At 38.8% G+C, this 22,304-nt stretch overlaps 1 protein-coding gene across 3 annotated transcripts in view, besides 1 other annotated feature; it reads left to right on the top strand.

The window, feature by feature from the left end:
• The window catches only part of EFNA5 (ephrin A5), a 294,044-nt gene that overhangs the window by 201,371 nt on the left and 70,369 nt on the right, over positions 1–22,304 (top strand). The gene's annotated exons all lie outside the window — the stretch shown is intronic.
• Positions 3,516–4,017: an enhancer, noted in NCBI's record as "H3K27ac hESC enhancer chr5:106801251-106801752 (GRCh37/hg19 assembly coordinates)". NCBI's record gives its function as "activates a minimal SCP1, AML or CMV promoter by ChIP-STARR-seq in primed H9 embryonic stem cells {active_cell/tissue: H9 hESC(primed)}" and the evidence as "EXISTENCE:reporter gene assay evidence [ECO:0000049][PMID:30033119]".

Raw genomic sequence — 22,304 nt, 5'->3', positions numbered from 1 at the left:
GTCAGTCAGAAGGTGGTGGGCTACAGGCCTTGACTTTCAGATGATTGTTAACTTCTTCCTTTACAATATACTGAACTGCCTGTTGTTAACAACCAAGCCATTCCTTGGCTTAGCTCCGCAGCAGGAAACTGAAATATTTTGAGAAGTCTTTATTCAGGCTTGCAAAAAAAAATAAAAGAAAGAGGAAATACCAAAATTAGATCAATCTTTGAATCTATTAAGGGGAATATTGTTTAGGGCATTTGAGGATCTATTTTCTTATGAATGTAGGATGGGCAAGTCTGTACCACTGGTTTGGTACTTTCTTAGGGGCCTGAAAGTGTAACTGCAGTTGAGGAGCGCAGGGAACAGCTTCATGGATGCTGGGCTGGGGTAGTCACATGGGACCCAGTGTTCAAAAGGGCCTGGTGTTTGGTTGAATGTTGTGCTGCTACCATCTTGAAATTCTTAATAATGTTTTAACAAGGGGCCCCACATTTTTATTTTGCACTGGATCCTGCAAATTCAAAATGCTAAGCACTTAGTTGGTCCTGCTAAACATTCATTGGTGGTTGTGGCAGAATGTGGTTTAAATTTTACCAGGTGTGCTAGAATCTATATTCTCCTCCATCACCCATAAGTAATTAAATTCTGTGCTCCTATCAACACATAAACTGGTTTGACAACAACATTTCAGACTTGTTCTTTTTAAAAAATGTCATTTAGTGAAGCAGCTGTATTTCCTTAATGCTTACATGATGCCAAATAACCTGTATGGCCTATTTTTTTTTTCCTTTTCAATTGTTTATTTCTACATCACATGTAGCTGATGGGTCCTTGTTAAGAAAACACAAAGAATTAATTAATGAGTTTAATTTCATGAGTTTTAATGTAAGCTTTCAACCAAAAGAACTGTGAAAGCTGGTAGAGTGCCAACATTGGTGAGGTTTTAACTCTTGCACACCCAGGAACACATTCCTTAATTTCTAAGGGTGTGATTCTTTAGTCCTGGAAGATTTCAAAAGCACCTCCAGGCTAGGAGTGCCTCCTTCTAAGGACAGTCACCTGGCACCATTCAGTTCAGAATGGACGTTTCAATGATTGCTGCTAGCAGAGCTTGATTTCTTATCAAGTTATGCACTGTCAAGTGAGGAACTGCACCATTCATTTTATTTTGCTCTCTGACTCATTAGCTTTATTTCTTATAAACACCCTTCCCTTCCAAGCACAATCTAAAAATTTCTGTCATTAAAAGCAATTTTGTTTTTCCTGCCTAAGGGTGACTATTTCCAAGAAAATATGTGCATTTTGACAATGTGATTCTTGCCTATTTAAAGCTACAAGTATAATTTCTTTTTTATTGGGTGATAAACTTTCCTTCTGACAAAACAAAGGGCAGTCAAGATTTCTTCCCATTTTAAAAACTGTGATTTTGCATTTCTTCACAACATGTTTTAAAGCACATTTTGCATAACTCTGCTTTTAAAAAGAATGGTATATGGCTTGTATGCTATCCGTTCTACCAAGATGTCAGTGATATTGAGCATTAAACGAAGTGTGATCATGAAAATAGAACAAAATGCTATGTCATAATTGAAAGTTTGGCTGTAAATGTTTCATTCTTATAGCTATAATATGATTATGAATTTCCCATGAAAAACCCTAAGCCTGATTTTGATGTCCACATGTATGTAGCCTATGTTTGTTACCTCTTTCTGATGATTTTTGATTTGCTGTGCAAAGGAAAGGACCTTGGACAGTGGGTCACTGGTCTCTTTCCTGCTTCTGCCTGGGAAAGACAGCGTGGTAACATTTCCATGCCCTGCCTCTGGGTCCGCTGCCATTAGCACTCAGAGCTGGCTTTTCCTGCTGACTCTGACTCTTATATTTTACTTCTAGGTCAATAAAGCCCAAAGGTAAAGCTGCCTGATGAACAGGCTGTGAGACCGGATTTCTCACACTTTGGTTATCCACGTGCCACCTTCACAACTTTTGCCATGTGCGCATATCACCTATGTCAGAATTTGCTTAATATTTTTCTTTCAAATAGACACTATTTTTTTTACCTAATTTTTTTCATGGAAACTTTATAGCCTTTTTCCAAATGTCCCTTTGCTATGAATGTACATATTATTGTCATAAGCCAACAAGCCTCAGATCCAGAAGCCTGCTCTTTCTCTCTATTGAAAGGAGAGATTAGCCAGTGCTAGAGAGGTGTTAAAGACCTATTAGCACTATAGTGAGACTTTTTTTTTCTTGACTGCTTGAGAGAAGATTCATAGAGTTACTTTTCTCATTACATCATTCATTGTTTGTTAATGCCATATCCACATATCACCTGTAGTTCTCCTCACACTGCTAAAGGTCTAGGTATTCACTTTGAAAGTACTGCCCTAAGTGATGAGATTTGATAGATGCTGAGATGGCCCCTCCACTTGGCATGTTGTCTAAAATTCCACCATTACAATCATTCCTTTAGATTTTTATTTCGATTTTGTTCAGTAATTACCTATTTAAATGTAAATTACTGTGTAACCTCTTAGTAATCTTCTAAAGATTGGTTTTCCTTATTATTGAGACTAAGGCTCCATCAATGAAGATAGGCTTGAAATCTGAGCTGTGGAAGAATAAAAGAAATACTTAAGACAAACCTAACGCTCTTCCCAATTAATTTAGGATTGTTATCTCTTCTTCGGTATTTCTCTTAGCCTAGTATAGCGCCTTCCATTTGCCCCAGCTCCAGCTATCACACTTCCCACAACATTGGAGTCAAATGCCAATGCTTCTGGAGCCCTTTCCTGATGGCCCACCCCAAACGCTCAAGCCTTTGTGCATCTCACCTACCAGACTCACCACACTAACTTACAGACTAGGGATTTGTGAGCTTGCCTTATCTCCTCTTGTAGACACCGAGTGAGTGGTGTACAAACAGGAGATCTGACTTCATTAACTGTGACAGAAAGTGAGAAAGGCAAGTGTCTCAAAGCAAATTTCTCTAAGTCGATCTCGCGAGAACATTCCTCATGCCGCACAGCTGGGAAGGGTAGCATTCCATTCACCCAGATTTGGCCCCGTGACATCAGCCTTGTTCTCCTGTGCATGAATCATTAAAACAGGCAGACACTGAGACTTGCTGAGGTGTGGGAGTGGAGAAGGGAGTCTGGGAGAGAGAAACCTTTCCCAGCATTTCCGCTCTGGTGCCCGGCTCTGCTTGAGCTATCTTTCTCCAAGCCTAGCTGACTGGGCAGGGAGGATGAAGTATTATCTCTGCAAAGCATAGCAATGACTCAGCATTTAATACCTGCACCTTTGACACATCATGGCTTAACACGACTTATGAGCCGTCTATTGTCTCTAAATCCACAGTGGAACTTTGGTATCATGAAAGAAGCTTTGGCAGTGCAGTGGCAGACTCTTTTAGCAAAGGGCTGCATCTCTAAATAACTCGAGCACCGTCTTTGGAATCAAGGTGTGATGAAAAGTGCTTTGGAGTCACAAGCACCTGCGGTTGGGTCCTAGCTGTGTGCTTAGGAGCAAGGTGACTTGATGTAAGTTAGTCTGCCTCCTCCTGCTCCCGACTTTCTCCTATGAGTGAGAGCTGAAAATGAGATACCCGGTCTTGATTTCACAGTGTGGCTGGGTGTAGTGGGCAAGGCAGGTGGTTGCAGAGCACACCGCACATGTCTGGTACCAGTAGCCGTGAACCTGAGTTCATTCCCTTTTTCTTTGTTTTTCAGTGAGGATCTCAGGCTCTATCCTGCTTGGATTGTGTGTGTATCTTTGTGAGGGGCCTTTTTCTCCCCTCGTGATATACTAAGACACCATGGCAGTACATTTAAAATGAGGGAACATCTCTGCAAGCAATCTGGACTAGCCAGAGATTGAACAAAGACTGTCACCATGATTGTATCCCTACATTTCTTACGCTGCTGTGATGGATTTGCATGAGAATAAAACCTCTGATAGTTATTTAACTACCTATTTATTTGATTTTCAATTATGTTGGACTTAAGTTCTCAGAAGCTAACTGTCATCACTCCATGATCACCATGTCAGCTTTGCTGTCATATTGGCTCATGCTTTAAGAGGCAAAGCCACATTTACGTGGCGTCTTTGGAGTAAAGCGGTGAAACCTTGGTGTTCTGCCATGTTATGAGCTGTCCAAGACTCATTTTTAGGACTCACCTGTCCATATTAACTCTTCTAATGTTCTACATAAGTTGTGACAGAACAAGATCTAGGAAACAGGGAGAAATGACTTTGGGTTGTCATGTTAGGTAACCGTCACCCATTATCTTTAGAGGCTTAAAATGTTGATGTTCACTCTTTCCAGTATGCAAGAAAAGACGGCCTTCGCAGGGCCTTGGAAAGAAGTGAAGGTGAAATCTGGTGTAATGTAAGTCATAAATTGGGTCACACTTGAAAATGAAAAGCTTTGCTGTCGCTGTTGGTAACCATTGGCCTAAGGAAAAGCAGTGGTTCGGAAACTTCCCTTGAATTGTTTTTCTTAAAAAAAAAAAAAAAGCCTCACACAGAATGGAAAGTTTGGGTCACAGGTGTAAACCCTTAGGCCGTGCTTCCTCGGTGAGCTCAGTGCTGGTCTCAAGGACAAAAAAGAGAGAGAGAAAAGGAGTTTTGCATTAAAAACAGATTTACCTCTTCAGGCAGAGGGATGGCTGCGAACATAGTCTCTGTCAGGACGCAGAGTGAGGAGGGAGAGTTGGAAACAGTAGTTGTGGACTTGAGGTGTTTATTTTCCCCTCTCCTCTTTCCTGGCGTGATGAATTTTGCTTATGGATTTGGTTTTGCTTCAGAATTCTTTCTGTGTGATAAGTGAGGGTTAGCTATTTGGGGACTGGTAGTTAATTTGAGCCTATGGGCAACTCCCCTCTTGCCTGGGATTGTATTTGTAACATTTTCCTCTGTAGGTTTAACTAAACTGTCAGGACAGCAGAGAGCTGAGTTATTGGACTTCATTGTAGAAAGCTCAGGCAGGAAATGAAACTGTTCACCTTAGAGAAGGAGCAGTGCAGCAGAGAAGGAGAAGGTCTGGGCTCAGAATCCTCTGTGATGCTTTGTTTCTCCGGAAAATTAAGTGCAGAATTTCTCCCCTTTGCTCCCCGAGGATGTACACAACAATCGATTTTGAAGCAGCAGCATCACCTCCATGTCTTGCCCCACCTTTGCTAAAGTACAATCTTGCTGTCTTTCATTTATTCTGGGGCTGGGGCAGGGGCTGCTTGTCATCTTCATCAGAAGGTATCCCTGGGCCTGGGTTGTGACAAGGGTAGTGAAGATTGGAGGGATATTCTGAGACATATACCCCTGGAGGACAGGAGAGTGGACCAAAGCTTCCTTTTGGTGCTAAATTGCTGAAGTGCTGCTGGTCCCGGGGCTGAATTCTAGCCAGCCCAGACTCCAGAGGTTAGGAGGTTAGGGGCAGGGTGTGCCTCAATTATTTCCCTGCCTCTTTTTGAATCCCATGAAATTCCTACTGTCCCCTCACTGTAGTCATTGCTTCTGGTTTAAAGATTCATAGTAAAACTTCCCAAAAGCTCTCCTGGGCTTTGAAATTATTTTCTTAATGCATTTAACCCACTTCCCATGCTGCTGTCATACAGAGTAAACTGTGATCTAATATGAGGTACTTGATGCCACACAAAACATTTTCCCAGTTAGGTACTTAGATGCAGCTCGGTGAGTGTGACTTCATGCCTTTGGAGTCAACATTAGAAACTTCAAATTGTCCTCACTCACAAGGAACCAAAGTGCATACTGCATTTGATGGAAAAAGAGGATATGGAAGCATATGGAAAAATACAGAAAAGCTCACTCACTCTTAATGAATTTTAAAGTGATTATAAGAAAATTCTTATAGCTATAGCATCCCTGAGTTAATTCAAGCAAGTTTTAATTATTTTGTGCCCTGAATTTACATTATCAGAATTCTTATAATTCCTCTTTATTTACTCTCTAAATTGTTTAGATCAATTGTTTTTACCAAGTATCACAATTTCTTACTGAATCCGAGTGTTTTATAAATTACATATACACATACACAAATATGTACCTATGTCTCTAGTTTTTATTGGAAAAATATTGGAAGACAGTCCTGAAAATATCAGGTGTAGTAGTTTGGCTCTTTAATTCTAATGCTATCTTTCTGATTATAAAATAAATGTATTATTGAGGAAAATCAGAAATATATATATTTTAAAGTACACTGATGAAAGTGAACTTTATTTATAATGCCACCATCCAGAATATGTTATATATAAAGTATGAAATATATGTGTGTGAATTTGTTAACATGATTAAAATTATTCTATATATTTCATTGTAATCTGCTTTTTTATTTAGTGATATGATATTTATTTTACTGGAAAAATGATCAAACTGAATTACCTCAAAATCTTTGGAGAATGGTTGTGGTTAGATTTTAGAGCAAAAATAAAAGTAGATTAACTTTGAATTAAAGACTATAGAACTGGAGCTGCCCTTGCCTCTCTATCTAATCTCAGCTACTCCATCCCCCGCTTCATAGATGAGGAAACTGAACCCTGGAGAGTATATGACATATTCAGCATCAGGATGGACGCCAGTGACTGAATGGGGACTAGAACCCACATCTCCTGCCCACTAGCAAGCTGTGTTTTCTTTCCAGCACAAATCACTGTGTGGTATTTCTCCTTATTCCCATGAATGAACTTCAGATTCATAAACCTTAGAATCTTAGCACAAAGAAAAAGGTGTGAACCATTCATACAATGGATTTGGGAGTGTCAGGAAGAAGAGAACCAAACTTGGTTTAGCTGAGGCCACTGAGTTGCTTATTAAACAGATGTGATGCTTTTCCATCTTGGGGAACAGGCATTCTGAGTAGCACTGTCCCACATAGCAGGGTGCAGCTTTACATTTTGCCAGGTGTTTTCATCTCTAATCTTATGTTTTGTTCATCACAAAGTCTCTGGGAGATTGGTAGGGTTAGTGTTTCCATTGGACTAGTGACTTAATTCTGGGAATGAAAGAACATATTAGCTCTACAAGGGCCATGCTGTGTGTGATGCTTTAGGTCTAACTCATAGTGTGGACCCATAGCCGTTTACCATGGAACTTTCTGCACTATGGTGTTTATTCTGGAGAAAAGTTTCTATTTAACATGAGGCTATCAGTTCAGCAATACAGCATTTGTCCTGTTTGTTCATTTGTTGTTGACATCAAATAAAAGTCACAATCCAGAAGCTATTTATATAAACAAAAGATGATCTTTGATTTTCTCTTTTTTGCTCATCTCTTCCCTTTTCTTTCCTTTCTTTCTTGCTGATTCTTTTCTTCAGCAAACCTCCTCCCAAGCACACTCTATCCTCCTTAGCTTTTCTGATCTTTCTCAGTTCTTCACTCTTTGCAGTGAAGATGACAACTTCATGCAGTTTTAGGACCTTGGCGTTTTTGCGTGGGGTGTGTGTGTCTGTCCGTCTGCATCCTGGCATTTTCTGGATTTCTACAGTGATCCCAGGGTCTAACCACACATGCTGCAAAAAGAACATTCTGAAGAGTTGCAGGAAATAATTGATGAAGAGGTTGCTCTGTGCAGGGCACATTGGAATTTAGTTAATGTGTAGCCTGAAGCAGAAAGTACCGGGCTGCTTTCGGGGCCCTTTGAAAACATGTACAAGTATTTGGTGAGAACTTCATAACTCAGTTAAGCTGTCTTTGATTCCAGAGATATCCCTAGAGCCAGTGAATAAATTACAGATGCTTTTTTTAAAAAAAAATTTACTCAATGCCTATATTAAATAATTGATTCTTTATGAACCAACATGACTAAATAGGTTAATCAAGTTATTGCTGGATTTGCTTAATTTTCCTCACTTTTAAAAATAATGCCTTGTTTAAAGAGGTAATAACAGGATCTTTTGCTATTCTCACATAAAATTAACACTTTTGACCTACAGAAGCAATGCTGCATCTATAAGCTGATCTAGGTTCATTTAGTTGAGTGCTGGTTTTCCCCTTTTCTCTCTTGCTTAGATCACAGTCTTTCTCCCCCGTCCTCTCTTGCCTCAATTACAACCTGTAGAAAAGGTCTTTTTTTCCCCCCTCTATATTTAATGTCTGACACATTGGGCCTCTCTTTAGGGGTATATCGGCTGGATTCCCAAAGATGCTGTTTGGGGCTTGAACTCAGTGACTTACTAAGTGGTACCTTGCTGCCCTTAAAGAATTCTACTGAATAGCTTTCTCTCTACTGTTAGGCAAGTTCTGTCTCTATGTGTATATTCTCTGTCCTTGCTTCATCTGAAAACTGCTTAGATGTTGTGATTATGGATATTTTAACACATGCTTTTACTGTAGTCTCTCTTTTTTAGGAAAATCTTAATCTTTGTTCTTTTGCTTTTTTATTTTTGAGTTTCAAGGTCTCCTGGAACCTGGGAATTAGAAGAGATAGGAGGGGTCATCATCTAGTCTGATTCCTACCTCTTTTACTTAAATGTGCATGTGGTCAGAATTTGAAATTTCCCTACTCTGAAAACACAAAGAAATACAGGGCAAGTTTCAGAGATGCTGGACTGTTGTGCCTGAGGCTGTGATTGTTCTCTTTGGTTTTGATAGCTACACCCACCGTATTTGCATGATAGATGTGGAATGAATACCGTGTCCTTTTGTTTTTCTCATTGAATATCCTAGGATATTCTTCTAAAGGGGAGGGGTGCTAATAACAAGCTTATTTTCCCTTGTTTTAATGACATAGGCATATTCCTCTAGCAGTCATAGATGCCCATGCAAAGACACAGCTTTCCTTAGGGAATTTGAAATTGATTAGCATCTCTGATGAACCTTTAAGGTTTATGGTAACGTTGGTACCATTTGTCTTCTCCCTCTCTTCTGTTTTTTGGTTAAGATATCAGAAGTAGGTCAGTTATAGTGAAAGCTACTTTCAGGGTTTTTTTTTCTCACATTTTAAATTACAAAAGATCTTAGTTTGCTCAAATTTATTTTTTACCAAAAAAGTGAAGAAACAGCTGATACCTTCCTTAAGAAAGAGGCTTTACTCACTCAAGTTTTCGATAAATCAGCTACACTGATATGCTTGCTGTGTGACAGACTGCAACTGAGCCTCATTATTCATACGTGTCTGTGTGATGTTACTGAATCAATTTGTGCTGTATCCATTTTGCACTCATGGATAGTTCATGGTCCCTTATGAGCAGAAATAGTCAGCAGGCAATAATAGAAGACATGGAGCAGAAATGGTTAGGGCCGATAATCCTTTGCTCCATGGTGCTAGATCCATGTCTTAAATTCATTTTTAGTGTCTTAAAAAAAAATTCTCGTCTCATCAATATGAGGATGGCATCAGCAAAATCAAAAAGGAGATACTTTCCAAGCCTTTACATATGTTCTGCTTTTATTCCAATACAGATTGTTAAATGAGGGCACAGAAAAGGTCCCTACCTCTTGATTAGCAGAGTAGGCCATTCCTGCATGGAATTCCTTATTGGCTACAGTCATCTTCTGTATAACACAGTAGCCTTTCCTGATTTTAAACCAGAAAAGCCAAAATTGCCCTAAAAATGTTACCTCTGCAGTGGTTAAACAGTTCCTAAGGCTAAGCGTTTGAGGCGTGCAGAGTGGAAGAGAGATGAAGTGGTGATGGCCACCTGTAGCTGCTGCTGTCTAGCTGACCCTGCTGTTTGTTGGCAACTGGAGACAAAGTTAAGGCTATTAAAGCTGACTCCAGTCAAGCTGCCCTTATCATCTGATGTTTCCTCATATGAGATTCCAGGTGGTGCTGCCCCACTGAGACAGTGTGAACTCACCAATCATTGCTTGAAGCTAGGAATTTTCTTCTGCTGTGCCATTGCGTGACAACTCAATTCTGACCACTTTCCTTCCACTCCTGTGGAGCAGAGGAAGAAACTCTCAACTCTCACAGGGTCTTCAATTTTTTTTACATTTACAGAACTCCAGGAGATAATTTTTGCAGCACTGTCCTGGAATTCAGGAATTCACTCTACTCTGAGCTTTGCCGTTAATGAACTTGGCAATGTTAGCCAAGTGACTTCACCTTTCTGGGTGTCAGTTACTCAACTATAAAACATGAACATAGGATAAATGATCTTCAGGCCCACTTCACTTTAACCATCTATTTTTCTGTAGTTCTAGCCTTTGTTCTGCTTTGTTGTTCTACATTTCTTTTTTTTTTTTTTCATGTGTTCCAATTGATTTTTTTTGAGATGGAGTCTTGCTCTGTCACCCAGGCTGGAGTGTGGTGACGTGATCTCAACTCACTGCAACCTCCACCTCCCAGGTTCAAGCTATTCCCAATTCCTCCACCTAATTTTTTGTATTTTTGGTAGAGATGGGGTTTTGCCATGTTGGCCAGGCTGGTCTCAAACTTCAGACCTCAGGTGATCCACCTGCCTCAGCCTCTCAAAGTGCTGGGATTACAGGCGTGAGCCAGTAGCCTCCAATTGATATTTTGAGGTCCTAAAATAAAACAGTTAATTTAAACGTAAATTTGAAGGAAGAAATGCTCCTTAAGTTAAAGAACAAAGAATTGTCAGGTATACGTTTATGGAAAAGTATATTTTGGTGTCAAGGTACAAAAATCAAAATTTGTGCCTAGAAATCCTTTATAGAGAATCAACAAACAAAAAAGATCTAGACTGCTTTTATTAAAATATCAGCAATATCCTGAAGTTTTCAATAAAAAAAGACTAAAATTATTCTGTCTCTTCCCCTGATGTACAATGGATGATTAAAGTTTCTCTTGCACACAATAAGAAAATACTTCTTAAAAACCACTGAAGTGATTTGGTTACTGTAACAATTGTTTTAAATGGTGTTGTGAGATAGACAGCGGTTCAATGCATAGTTTCCCTTACGATTTAAGCAAATAATTGAGGATACCCATACGGAGGTTTTCAGCACTCTGTTTTCTGTATCACAATTTTTTTTTATAATGATGTACTAGTTTATAACTGCAGTTTATTGTCTCACGACTTCCAAAAAGGCTTTAGCACTCCAGGTTCCAGGCACCTTGTTTCTCACCTTTGTACCTTTTGGTTTCCTCATGCTGCCCATCCTATCTAGAGTGCCTCTGCCAATTGTAGATAACTCCTGCTCAAACTTTGACTCGGGTAAGCCTTTTCTTATCTCCAAGGCTATATTTGGGATCCCACCTTTACATCTCAAAATGTAATTACAAGTTTATGGGTCTGTCCCCCTGACCAGGCCGAAATCTTTGAGGAAAGGAATTATTTTCTATTCATCCTTGTACCCCACAGTCCAAGGTGATACATAGCACATAGTTAAAGCTCAGGGAAGGTGTTTGAATGACTGATTAAAGGCATATCAGATGAAACTGTTCAAATAATTATAACAACTGTAAAAACTGTAAAGAGGTCAGAGAAAACAAATATATCAAAAGTAGTATCTTACTCTCATTGAGCATTACATTTAGCTCTGACTGGTAGCCAAGCCCAACAATAAATATGATATGATCAACGTATAGTAGAAAATAGTGTGGTTTAGAGGGAACAGCATGGGATTTGGAAGAGGAGATAAGGGGACTTGAATCTTGGTGCCACTATAGAAACCTTGAACACGTTCTAAAATCTCTCTTTGTCTGTTACTACATCTGCAAAATGAAAATAACAACACCCACTTCTTAGAGTTGTTTTAAGGAGCAAACGAATTAACATATGTGAAGTGAACATAGTTGCTGCTCCTATGTGAAGCAATTCAGAGGATCACTATGTTTTTGTTGTTGCTGTTTTGTTTTAAATTAGTAGAACAATTGTGTGTTTATAGAAATTGAGCAGATAGTACAGAGCATTCCCATATTCTCTCTCCTGCTCACACTTTTCCTTATTATTAGCTATTTTTTTAAACTAGGTAACTTATTCAAATAACATGGTAAAGTAAATACAGTCGGCCCTCCTTATACATGGGTGCCACATCCATGGACTCAACCAACCTTGGATTGAAAATATTTGAAATAAAAAGTGTCTGTACTGAGCATGTACAGACTTTTTTCTTGCCATTATTCTCTAAACAATACAGTATAACAATGATTTACATATTTTTACATTGTATTAGGTATCATAAGAAATCTAGAGATGATTTAAAGCATACAGGAGAATGTGCATAGGTTATATGCAAATGCGATGCCTTTTTATATCAGGGACTTAAGCATTCATGGATATTGGTACTGTGGGAGGTCCTAGACCTTCAGAGGCTGAGTCAAGGATCTAGAGTGCCTTCATCAGGCTAGAGACTATTCCTACCACCTCTATGGAGTGCAGTATTAACACGAACTTTCTTTTGGAGAACTTTAGATCATAACAGGTCAGCAATGAATGTTAAAGCAAAAAACATTGTGCGAGTTGTATATTAACAGCATTTGGAATTTTAAATTCACACACTTTACATCTGTTAAAAATGACAAAAGGGGCCTTTCAATTAGAGTTAAGTGGGCCACTGAGGCTGTTCATTGGTAGGTTGACTGGAGGGCCTGTGACCCTGTGGGCCCAGCTAATCTTGGGCAAAGAGGAAAGAGGTACAGAGTTTGACCTGCAAGAAGAGACTCCTCCCCACTAAGAACACAACAGTAAGCGTGAAGGGAAGCAGTGTACACTAGCAGAACAACTGTGCTAAGGGTCAGAATGAACATTCAGGGTTGTGCAGATTCTTGGGATGCATTTTGACTAGATAAGTAGCATAGCATTTATAAAGGAAATGGGCTTACAGACCCCAAACATCAGATTTCCTTCCCCAAATTTCTTCTATGGCCATATTGAACAAGGGGGCAAGCTAGACCAGAGAGCTCATCTGGACAGGAGGTGAGCATTAGAGATGCAAAAGGGTATAGATCAGCCCCATCTAAAGCAGCAGCAAAGCCAGATGATTTGCTGGGACAAGTGTGGTTTGTTCAACTAGTGTAGAGACATGCCCCAACCACTGGCACAGTTGCAACAGCACTTGGTTTCAAAACATCTCTCTTAAAAGGGAATGTTTTTCAGCTCTCTAGAGGCTTAGCAAGATCTGAAAAGATTTTGCTGCTGTTTGCTGGCTTCTACACATGCCACTTTTTACACCTTTACCTAGATAGATGGAAAGCACTGTAGCCCACTTGCTTTGCATGTTTGAACAAGCCTGCATGGATAGATGACAGTGCATGAACAGCTGGCTTCTTCAAGAGCTGATCTGCACCACCCTAACATTACCTAAACAATCATTACTTACTTTTTTTCTTCCTTCAGTGCTTAAGCAAGTTTCAGCATGTTAAAAGAGAGAGCTGTGGGAAATGGCCTAGAGCTCTGGGATAAAAATATAAATCACACCCTAGTTAGCTTAGGTTAAATTAACTTTAGATTGATATATATGGACACCTCCTTTTAGGAGCTAAGCCACCACCCCATCACCCCAGAGCTCTTAATTAGCCCTCTCCATGTGGAATATGGACCTGTAACCATTCACCAGGTTCCTAATTCTTTTTCAATTAAGAGTTCTAAGTTAAGAGACAATTAATATCTTTAACATTGTATTAATGTCTGTCAAAGCTAAAACTGTTAATCAAACAACAGCAGAGTATGAAGCATTTCTAGGTAGTGGATGGCATTTTCCTGCAGGAAGCACTCAAAATCAGAAGTTTGGCTGCACCCAGTCAGGGCAGCTGTGCATTAAAGTTGTTCTCAACATATGCTAATGCTAACTGGACCAAAGTGTTAGTTTTATAGTTCATTATGAGGCTTGTGAAAAAGAATAATTCACACTGAGTAAAGTGGAAAGAATTATCCATAACCAGGTTGCAACAATAAACTTTAAGAGCAAAGAAAGAGACATTCTGGGTGCCTCATGTCTGTGCATTGTCCTAAGGAGATGAAATAAGAGAGGTTAAAGACAAGAATGAGGAATTTTTTGCTGTTGTTCTAATCTGGTGCAGTATTTTAGGTAATTTATTTGATAAAGGCAACACTCACTTCTGAAGGTCTTCTTCCCTCAACTGAAGATTTGCAAAGGAAAATGCTGGGTGGACTTGATCACCAGCTACTCTTGAGTTTCCAGTGTGGCTGGTTAGTAATTCCTTATCCCACAAAGAATTTTAAAAATGTGCCAGCTTAAGGAGGTCAGAGGCTAAAGCATGGAGGTGTTTAATGTGCATTTTTTTCTATCTCACTAATAGACTGTTGACATGGGTCTTTTGTGAACTCCCTGGCTAACTAAATATATTCATGATCCGAGTGAAGAGGGGGAGTAGAGAATGCTCACGTTTCAGGATGTAAGGTTTTGTTTAATTTCAGTCAATCATTTGTTGATGGCAAGTACACCAGATGAAATGCATCCTCTGAAGGAGCTCTGAGATCTTTGGGTCTGTGTATATAAATCATTTGCCTGCCATGACACCACATCCAACAAACCTCGTTGACACTGACAGGGACCAGATGTGTAAGGCCATGGAAAAGACGTTAGGTTTTGACATCAGCTGACTGACAGTTACATTTGGAGGCACCAGTTGAGGGTTTGAGATTTTGTTGAGTCCAGCAGGTAGATGGAAATCTGCATTTAGTGTTATCACATGCCTTTAAACACTTAGCTGAAGATAAAACCACCTCTGTTCATGGAATGGAGCTTAAAATAACCCAGTTTCAACTCTTCAGACCTAAAAGCTTCCTTCCCTCTCTACTTGCTCTTGCTCTTGTTCCCTCTCATTCTCTCATAGCCACAGTGGAAAGAAAGTTTAAGTAAAAATACAATTTACAAAAGATTTATACATTTTTTTCTGAAATGTATTCTTCCTCATTCCCTCCCTGCCTATATCTAAATATACTAAATGTGATACATTTGTAAGCAAATAAAGTATACATTTTACATTCTCACAGGAACCAAATGACCTTAGCTTTTTTATGGGCACTAAAAAATGTTAGTATTTGCATATTATAAAATTTCCCCAAACTTTCACCTTTAAGAGCTTAATAACTTCAGGAAGTTTAAATTTCTAAATCTTGAGATTTAAAATTTTCTAATGTAGGAATAATAATTGAAGTAAATTACCATTTAGTCTAAGTTTAAGATACTTTGCACAAAACTGAGAGACTGGTCATCTGAAAAAAGAAGCAGACAATCACAAAGTAAAGCTTCAAATGATGATTACAGCTGATTTTAATGTAGTCCTTTGGATGATTAAATATATATTCTTAATCTTAATTTTAAAAACAAAGGTATAATTTTTATACATTTTCATTAACATATTGATGAAATAGTAGCAAAAGCTTTAAGAAAAAATGTTACTAATTTATCTTAAAACGATGTCTTGTTGAGTTTAATATAAAGTATTTTAAAGTAACTACTCAAAAATGACTTGTAGAATTGTATGACTTCAATTTTCAGTGACAAAATATGAATGCATTTGGACTTTTGGAAAGCCTGAATATCAGCATTTCCTTTAGATTGTATAAAAGCAATTATAAAGTGACAGAAGGAAAAACGTTCATGCTAGTTAGCTATGAAGGGAATTATTGGCTTTTGTTCATATTGGAACCCCTTTAATGTTTTAAGAGTGGGTTAATATTGATCTGGCATTCATTCTGCTATGCATCTGTCACACACACACATACACACACACACACACACACTCACACTCCTTCAGTTTGCATTTTTGCCTACAGGCTGCTGAGAGCTGATTATTCTTCTAATCAAAACCGTCACAATCAGGGGAGACAATTAGTCAGGTTAGGCCTCTGCTGATTTTGCTTGTGGCCCTTAGCATCAGATGGCCTTGAGCACTCTTGAATCATATCAACAAGTATTTCAATAATACCTCCTCCGCTCCACCTGCTGCTGCTAAGGTCTTCCTTTCATCTCTGGCATTGCTTGAATTTGTGATTTCTCATGTATTTTAAATTGAGACCACAAGGTATAGAAATGTTCAAAAGTAGAAACTTGGCAGACCTCATTGCTAGTGCCACTTAAAAATCACCTAGTCAACTCCAAAAATCATGAAATCAATTACCTATAAATAGGTTTCTATTTGTTTCTGTACTTATGCACTTGTAGAACTCAATTTATAGAGTTTAATTCCCATGTAAAATGAATATACATAGAGTGCATAAGAAAGAGTCCCATATATAATAGGCTCAGCATATTTTAAGCTATACTTAAATCAGAATGACATACATAAGACCCAGTTGGTAATAATACATTTTTATATTTTTCAGATGAAATAAATTTTGTTCTGAATATAAGATTTATTTATTATATTATTCTGGTGGTCATTGTCTGACTTTACCAACTATAGGAAGTTTTTAAATAAAAAAGCAATGATTTTTATCAATTCTTTTAATATCTAATATGTCTAAATAGCCTTCACATCTTTCTATCTGAACATTCTGTCAGTTTTAGAACTCCATCTAGAATGTGACTATGTTCTAGGGTTTTGTAATAAAATATATGTTTATGTATTTCAATATCCAGTTAAATAGTGTATTGTTATTGAGAAGTAAAGTGTCTTTAGAAAGAAGCCAGAAGATCAAATAGAGATTTATTTAAAACAATGCAGGGCTTATTATTCTTATATGGATACAACATTCATATAAGCTTTTTTAAAAAGAAGAAAGAAAGAAATCAGGCCAGGCAAGCTTTTCTTTTCACTTATTTGAAGGATTAAGGTGTTTTACTGAAATATTTTGTGTTTTGGAGTTAAGCCTTTCTGTGTATGCATGTCTGTACATATATGAGTTTTCCTAGGTATGTAATGTAATAACCAGAAGCTCAAGTAGAAAATGACTCTTTAAAGGTTTAAAACATAAGATATAATAATTTGTTGTATACAAGAGTTTTCAAAAATTTTTCTGAGACAGGGTCTCATTCTGAGCCCAGGCTGGAGTAAGTACAGTGGCTCAATCACGATTCACTGCAGCCTTGACCTCCTGGGCTCAAGCAGTCCTCCCACCTCAGCCCTTCCAAGTAGCTGGGACTACAGATACATACCACCACCCCCGGCTAATTTTTTAACTTTTTTTTTTGAGATGGGGTTTCACTGTATTGCTCAGGTTGGTCTCAAACTTCGGGGCTCAAGTGATCCTCTAGTCTCAGCCTCCCGAAGTGCTGAGATTACAGGCGTGAGCCATTGTGCCCAGCCTATAAAGAGATTTTTCTTTCATCATAGTGCTGACTATTAAGTGAAAATAGGCTTGAATTTCTGTAAATTAATGTCAGCTGTATAAGTCTGACTTTTTTTTTCTAAAAGAAAAAAAACGGGATACTTGTGCGGAACGTACAGGTTTGTCACATAGGTATACGTGTGCCATGGTGGTTTGCTGCACCTATTGACCCGTCCTCTAAGTTCCCTCCCCTCACCCCCAACCCCGGTAAAAGGCCCTGGTGTGTGTTGTTCCCCTCCCTGTGTCCATGTGTTCTCAATGTTCAGCTCCTACTTATGAGTGAGAATATGTGCTGTTTAGTTTTCTGTTCCTGTGTTAGTTTGCTGAGGATAATGGCTTCCAGCTTTATCAAGGACACGATCTCATTCCTTTTTATGGCTGCATAGTATTCCTTGGTATATACGTACCACATTTTCTTTATCCTGTCTATCATTGATGGACCTTTGAGTTGGTTCCATGTCTTTGCTATTGTAAATAGTACTACAATAAACATACGTGTACATGTGTCTTTATAGTAGAATGATTTATATCCCTTTGGGTATATACCCAGTAATGGGATTGCTGGGTCAAATGGTATTTCTGGTTCCAGGTCCTTGAGGAATCGCCATACTGTCTTCCACAATGGTTGAACTAAGTTACCCTCCTACCAACAGTGGAAAAGCCTTCCTGTTTCTCCACAGCCTCTCCAGTACCTATTGTTTCCTGATAAGTCTGACATTTCTTAAGTGGGTCCAGGCTTGTTTAATTTATATGCTTTTTTCTATGCATTTGTTCACTCATTCATTTAGGTTTTCACTTATTCATTCATTCATTCATTCATCTATTCACCATCGTTTTCTCTTTATAGATTATCTGTCTATCTATCTAAATGTATACTGAGATTATTTATTCTCTGCCTCCAAAACAATGAAGTAGTTGATATCTCCAAGTATATTTTTAAAGGACTTTTTTCATTTTGTAAAATTTAGAAATACTGATTGAGTCTATTTGTGGCTCTTAGGAAAAAATTTTTTATTCTAATTTTTGCAGTTAATGACTTGAACAGTCTTGCTTTTTATTTATTTATTTTTGCTTTACACATATGCATAGACAGCTAATACAAACCAACGTAGTTGATTTATCCAGTTGCTCTATGGGCAATTAAACCAAGGGTATTATCTCAGCAGGAATAAGTGGGCAAATTACACATGTGAAGTAAATGGATCTTTGAAGCTTGAGTACATAGGTATTACTGTACAAGAAGCTACGCTGAGATTCCTGTGGAGATCAAAGGGGATTTATTGATGAATATCAGAGAATAGGGAAGTGATGTCATAAACTTTTAATAGTCTAATAAACTATATTTAACGTTTTCCATCTTGGTAAGACCTCCAGCTTTTATGCTATAGAATAGTGTGGTCCTCTAGACATTGCAAAGAAAGCTGTCTGACTTCCCAAGGGATTAACCTTCAGGATCAAATGCCAAGACCACGTAGCTCTCAGTTTCTTGCAGTTGTCTAAAGACGATGAAAAGCCTCCAGAATCATTGCCTTTGTTCTCTTAAGAAATGGGATAAATGATAAAGCACTGTGACTTTTTAATATTACATTTGAATTGCCACACATAAGCATAACTCTCATATCCTCATTGGTTTGAGTGGTTTCTGACTGACCTCAACAATACCATATAATTTTAGAATTCTAAACACCCCCAGCGTCTCTTACAAAACAGAGTCTGGTTCATGTGAAATAATGGATACTTTGTTGGCGTATTTAGTGGATGAACCACATACATCCAGTGCCCTGGCTTTCACCCTTATCCCTCTAATTGCTCAGTGTTTCATGCTTTTATCAATTATAGACAAAATTTTTGGAGCAAAAGTAGAAAAAACATTGGAGTTACTGAGCAATACTTTGAGGCATTAGGCGCTCTTGAATGTTATGTGTGAATTAGTGCTTTGCACATGCTTAAGGACACTAGGAGGAGAAAATATTAGTCGACAAAACTAATTTAGAAAGAAGGGAAGAGAGGGAGCATGGCAGGAGGCATTTCACAATTCCAGTTCTGTGGCTTTACTTAAATCTTGTCACAATGAGGCTGATAGCACCAGTTTTCAAGGAAGTGAAGATTTTGCTGTCATCTAGAGGAGCAAAAAAACTTTGCCTTTGGAATCCTAAACAAACACGTGGAGGTCCCAGGGTGCTTAAAAAGCCATTTTGTTTCAGTGAATCAAAATGACCAAAAAATTTTTGTGTGGCATATCCCGTTCCCTCTCTCACAACTCCCCTCCTTCCTTCTCATGTGGAAGTCGAGGCATATAAATATTTCACGGCTTTCTGCCGTCGTTAATACAAATTTTTTGGCAAAAATAACCCATCGTTTGCAAGGAGATGATTTGCTTCCCCTTTGAGATGTGCAAGTCTATCTGCCATGCAAAACAACAAAAACATTTATGTCAGCATCTCCTTCATCAGAACCAAAAGGGAAAGTTAGAGAAACAAAAGAAATCACCTCCGTCTGCTTAACATATTGTCAACAATTTCAGACCTGGACAAAATCTTAAATTTTCCCTGCACTTAAGGCATCTCATTACCCTTCAAAAGACTTTGGAAGAGGAAAAGTTTACTTCTCCAGAGACAGTAATGCAGATGTTTTCTTTTCTATCATTTTTAGTAGGAAGGAGCAGGTGTAAAACAATTTTGATTAAGTGTACGTTATTTATTTATATTCCTCTGTCAGGAATGTTGGAACTTAGAGAGCTTCTTAAGGACTTTGGATGTGACAATACTCCATGAAACAGTGCAGAAAATACTTGGGGAAAATTATTAAATGGTGACCTCACTGGTTTTTCTCATCATTATACTTGTCATTTCCTGTTGTGCTGCTTTGGCTGTTGGAAGGGTTCAGAGCAGGTGTAGTTGGGGGGGCGGGGAGGGATGATGTGATAAGCTACATCTTCTCTTGTAGCTTTTCATCGATGGTGACATTTCTATTAGTTGTCATCACCTAAAGTGTCCCTAGTTCTGCCACTTACCATCAGGGAAGAGTAGAATCCTTATTTTTTTTTTTTTATGGTTTTAGCCATATTTTTGGCTTCCACCCTTCCATACCAGTCACTAGACAATCATTATGACCTCCTTGTGCCTCTAGGCGTTGGACACTCTGCCAGCTTTAGCCATTTGGTTATAGCTGCTCTTCACTTGTTGAAATTGATGTGATGAATGGAAATCCAGGAGCAGAATTAGCCGTAGTCTCAGTGTTCCACTAAATCGTATCATTTGGCTTCTGAAATAATTCAGTCACCAAATATGTGGTGACTATTTTCTGCATGTTCCATGTGTGAAACTGAAAGTGTTATAGAACCTTTAGGACACCTTATTTTTCATTTATTTATTTAAAAACTGAGGTATAGGGGAAGTATTTAAACCCAGGTCTTTAACCTCACATGCACTACTCTTTCAGACCTTCACCCCCACTCCAACCCACCCCACATTGCCCTTCATGGTGATATGTAAGAGCTGCAAAATAATGAACAAATGTTGGGGATTATTTTTGTTTTTATTTTATTTTATTTATTTATTTATTTATTTATTTATTTATTTATTTATTGTGAGACAGAGTTTCACACTGTCACCCAGGCTGGAGTGCAGTGGCATGATCTCGTCTCACTGCAACCTCCATCTCCCGGGTTCAAGCAATTCTCCTGCCTCAGCCTCTCAAGTAGCTGGGATTACAGGCGCACACCACCACATGCAGCTAATTTTTTGTATTTTTAGTAGAGATGGGGTTTCATCATGTTGGCCAGGCTGGTCTCGAACTCCTGATCTCGTGATCCGCCCGCCTCAGCCTTCCAAAGTGCTGGGATTACGGGTGTGAGCCACTGCGCCCAGCCCTGGGGATTATTTTTAACCTTCCGATGTTCCTCCCTCTGTGTAACTTTTCTCTTGTCCATCTCCTTTTCCTTAAGCCCACAAATGACCTACTTTAGGCTCTTGTCATGTCTATGCAGTCATAAGAAGCTGAAGTGAAGCCTTTATGTGTATTATTTTGTAGCTTTCCACAGTGCCAGTATCTAGCATTCAATAGGGCCTCTACAAATAGTCGTTTAATGGAAGAATAAGTGAATAGTTTACTGGCAGGTGCCAGGGAGTAAGGAATTCTCAGCTGAAGCTGGCAAGGTCTGTGTGTTTGTTTGCCTGGTCTAATGCAGTAGACTCCTTAATGATCTTACTACTTCGAGCTTTCTCTCCATCCAGTCTGTCTTCTCCAGGACTAACAGAGTGATCACTTTAACATACAAATCCAATCATGTTCTGCACCTTCTTAAAAATTTTCCCTTGTTCTTGGCTGGGCGCAGTGGCTCATGCCTATAATCCCAGCACTTTGGGAGGCTGAGGTGGGTGGATCATGAGGTTAGGAGTCAAAAATTAGCCCGGCGTGGTGGCAGGCACCTGTAATCCCAGCTACTCGGGAGGCTGAGGCAGAGAATCGCTTGAACCCGGGAGGCGGAAGTTGCAGTGAGCTGAGATTGTGCCACTGCACTCCAGCCTGGGCAACAGAACCAGACTCCATCTCAGAGGGGGGAAATAAAAAGAAAAAAAAAAATCCCTTGTTCTTAATTGCCTGTCAAACTCCTTTTTCAAAATAAGGTTCTAACCTCCTTTGGTGGTCTCATTTGCTGTCAACACTGTCCTTGCTTTCACATTTCTTTGGGTCTGTACATTTTGCCTTGCCTGAGAAGCCCCCCTCCCCTTCGTCCATCCTGCAAGTGCTGGCTCTTCTGTATGGTCTTTCTGAACTCTTTTGAAGTCTTTTGCTGTTTACTATTTTCTACAGCATTTGGTAGACGTTTCTCTTACATTTATAGCACTTTATTGGAGTGATGTATTTGGATGACTGCCTTCCCCACTAGACTGTCAGTTTCTCCAGGGCAGGACTATGTCTTGGTTCATTTCTGTTTCTCCACCTTTAAGTACAAAGCCTGAGCCACAGGAGGCTATCAATATACTTGTCTTGAATGAATTACTTAATTAACAAGGGAGCCAGGACATAAATATGTGAAAAGTCAATCAAATTAGGAAAGGTTGGAGGGTCAGTCGAATATCATATTGCTCAAATGCGTAATTTTAAAGTTTAAGTTAAAACAGGCCTTCCTGTAGAGAAACATCATTTAGTCTA

The sequence above is a fragment of the Homo sapiens genome, chromosome 5, assembly GCF_000001405.40.
Source record: "Homo sapiens chromosome 5, GRCh38.p14 Primary Assembly".
NCBI classification, from domain to species: domain Eukaryota; kingdom Metazoa; phylum Chordata; class Mammalia; order Primates; family Hominidae; genus Homo; species Homo sapiens.
The sequence above is the reverse complement of the archived record's forward strand: the minus strand, read 5'-3'. Positions and strand labels throughout refer to the sequence as shown.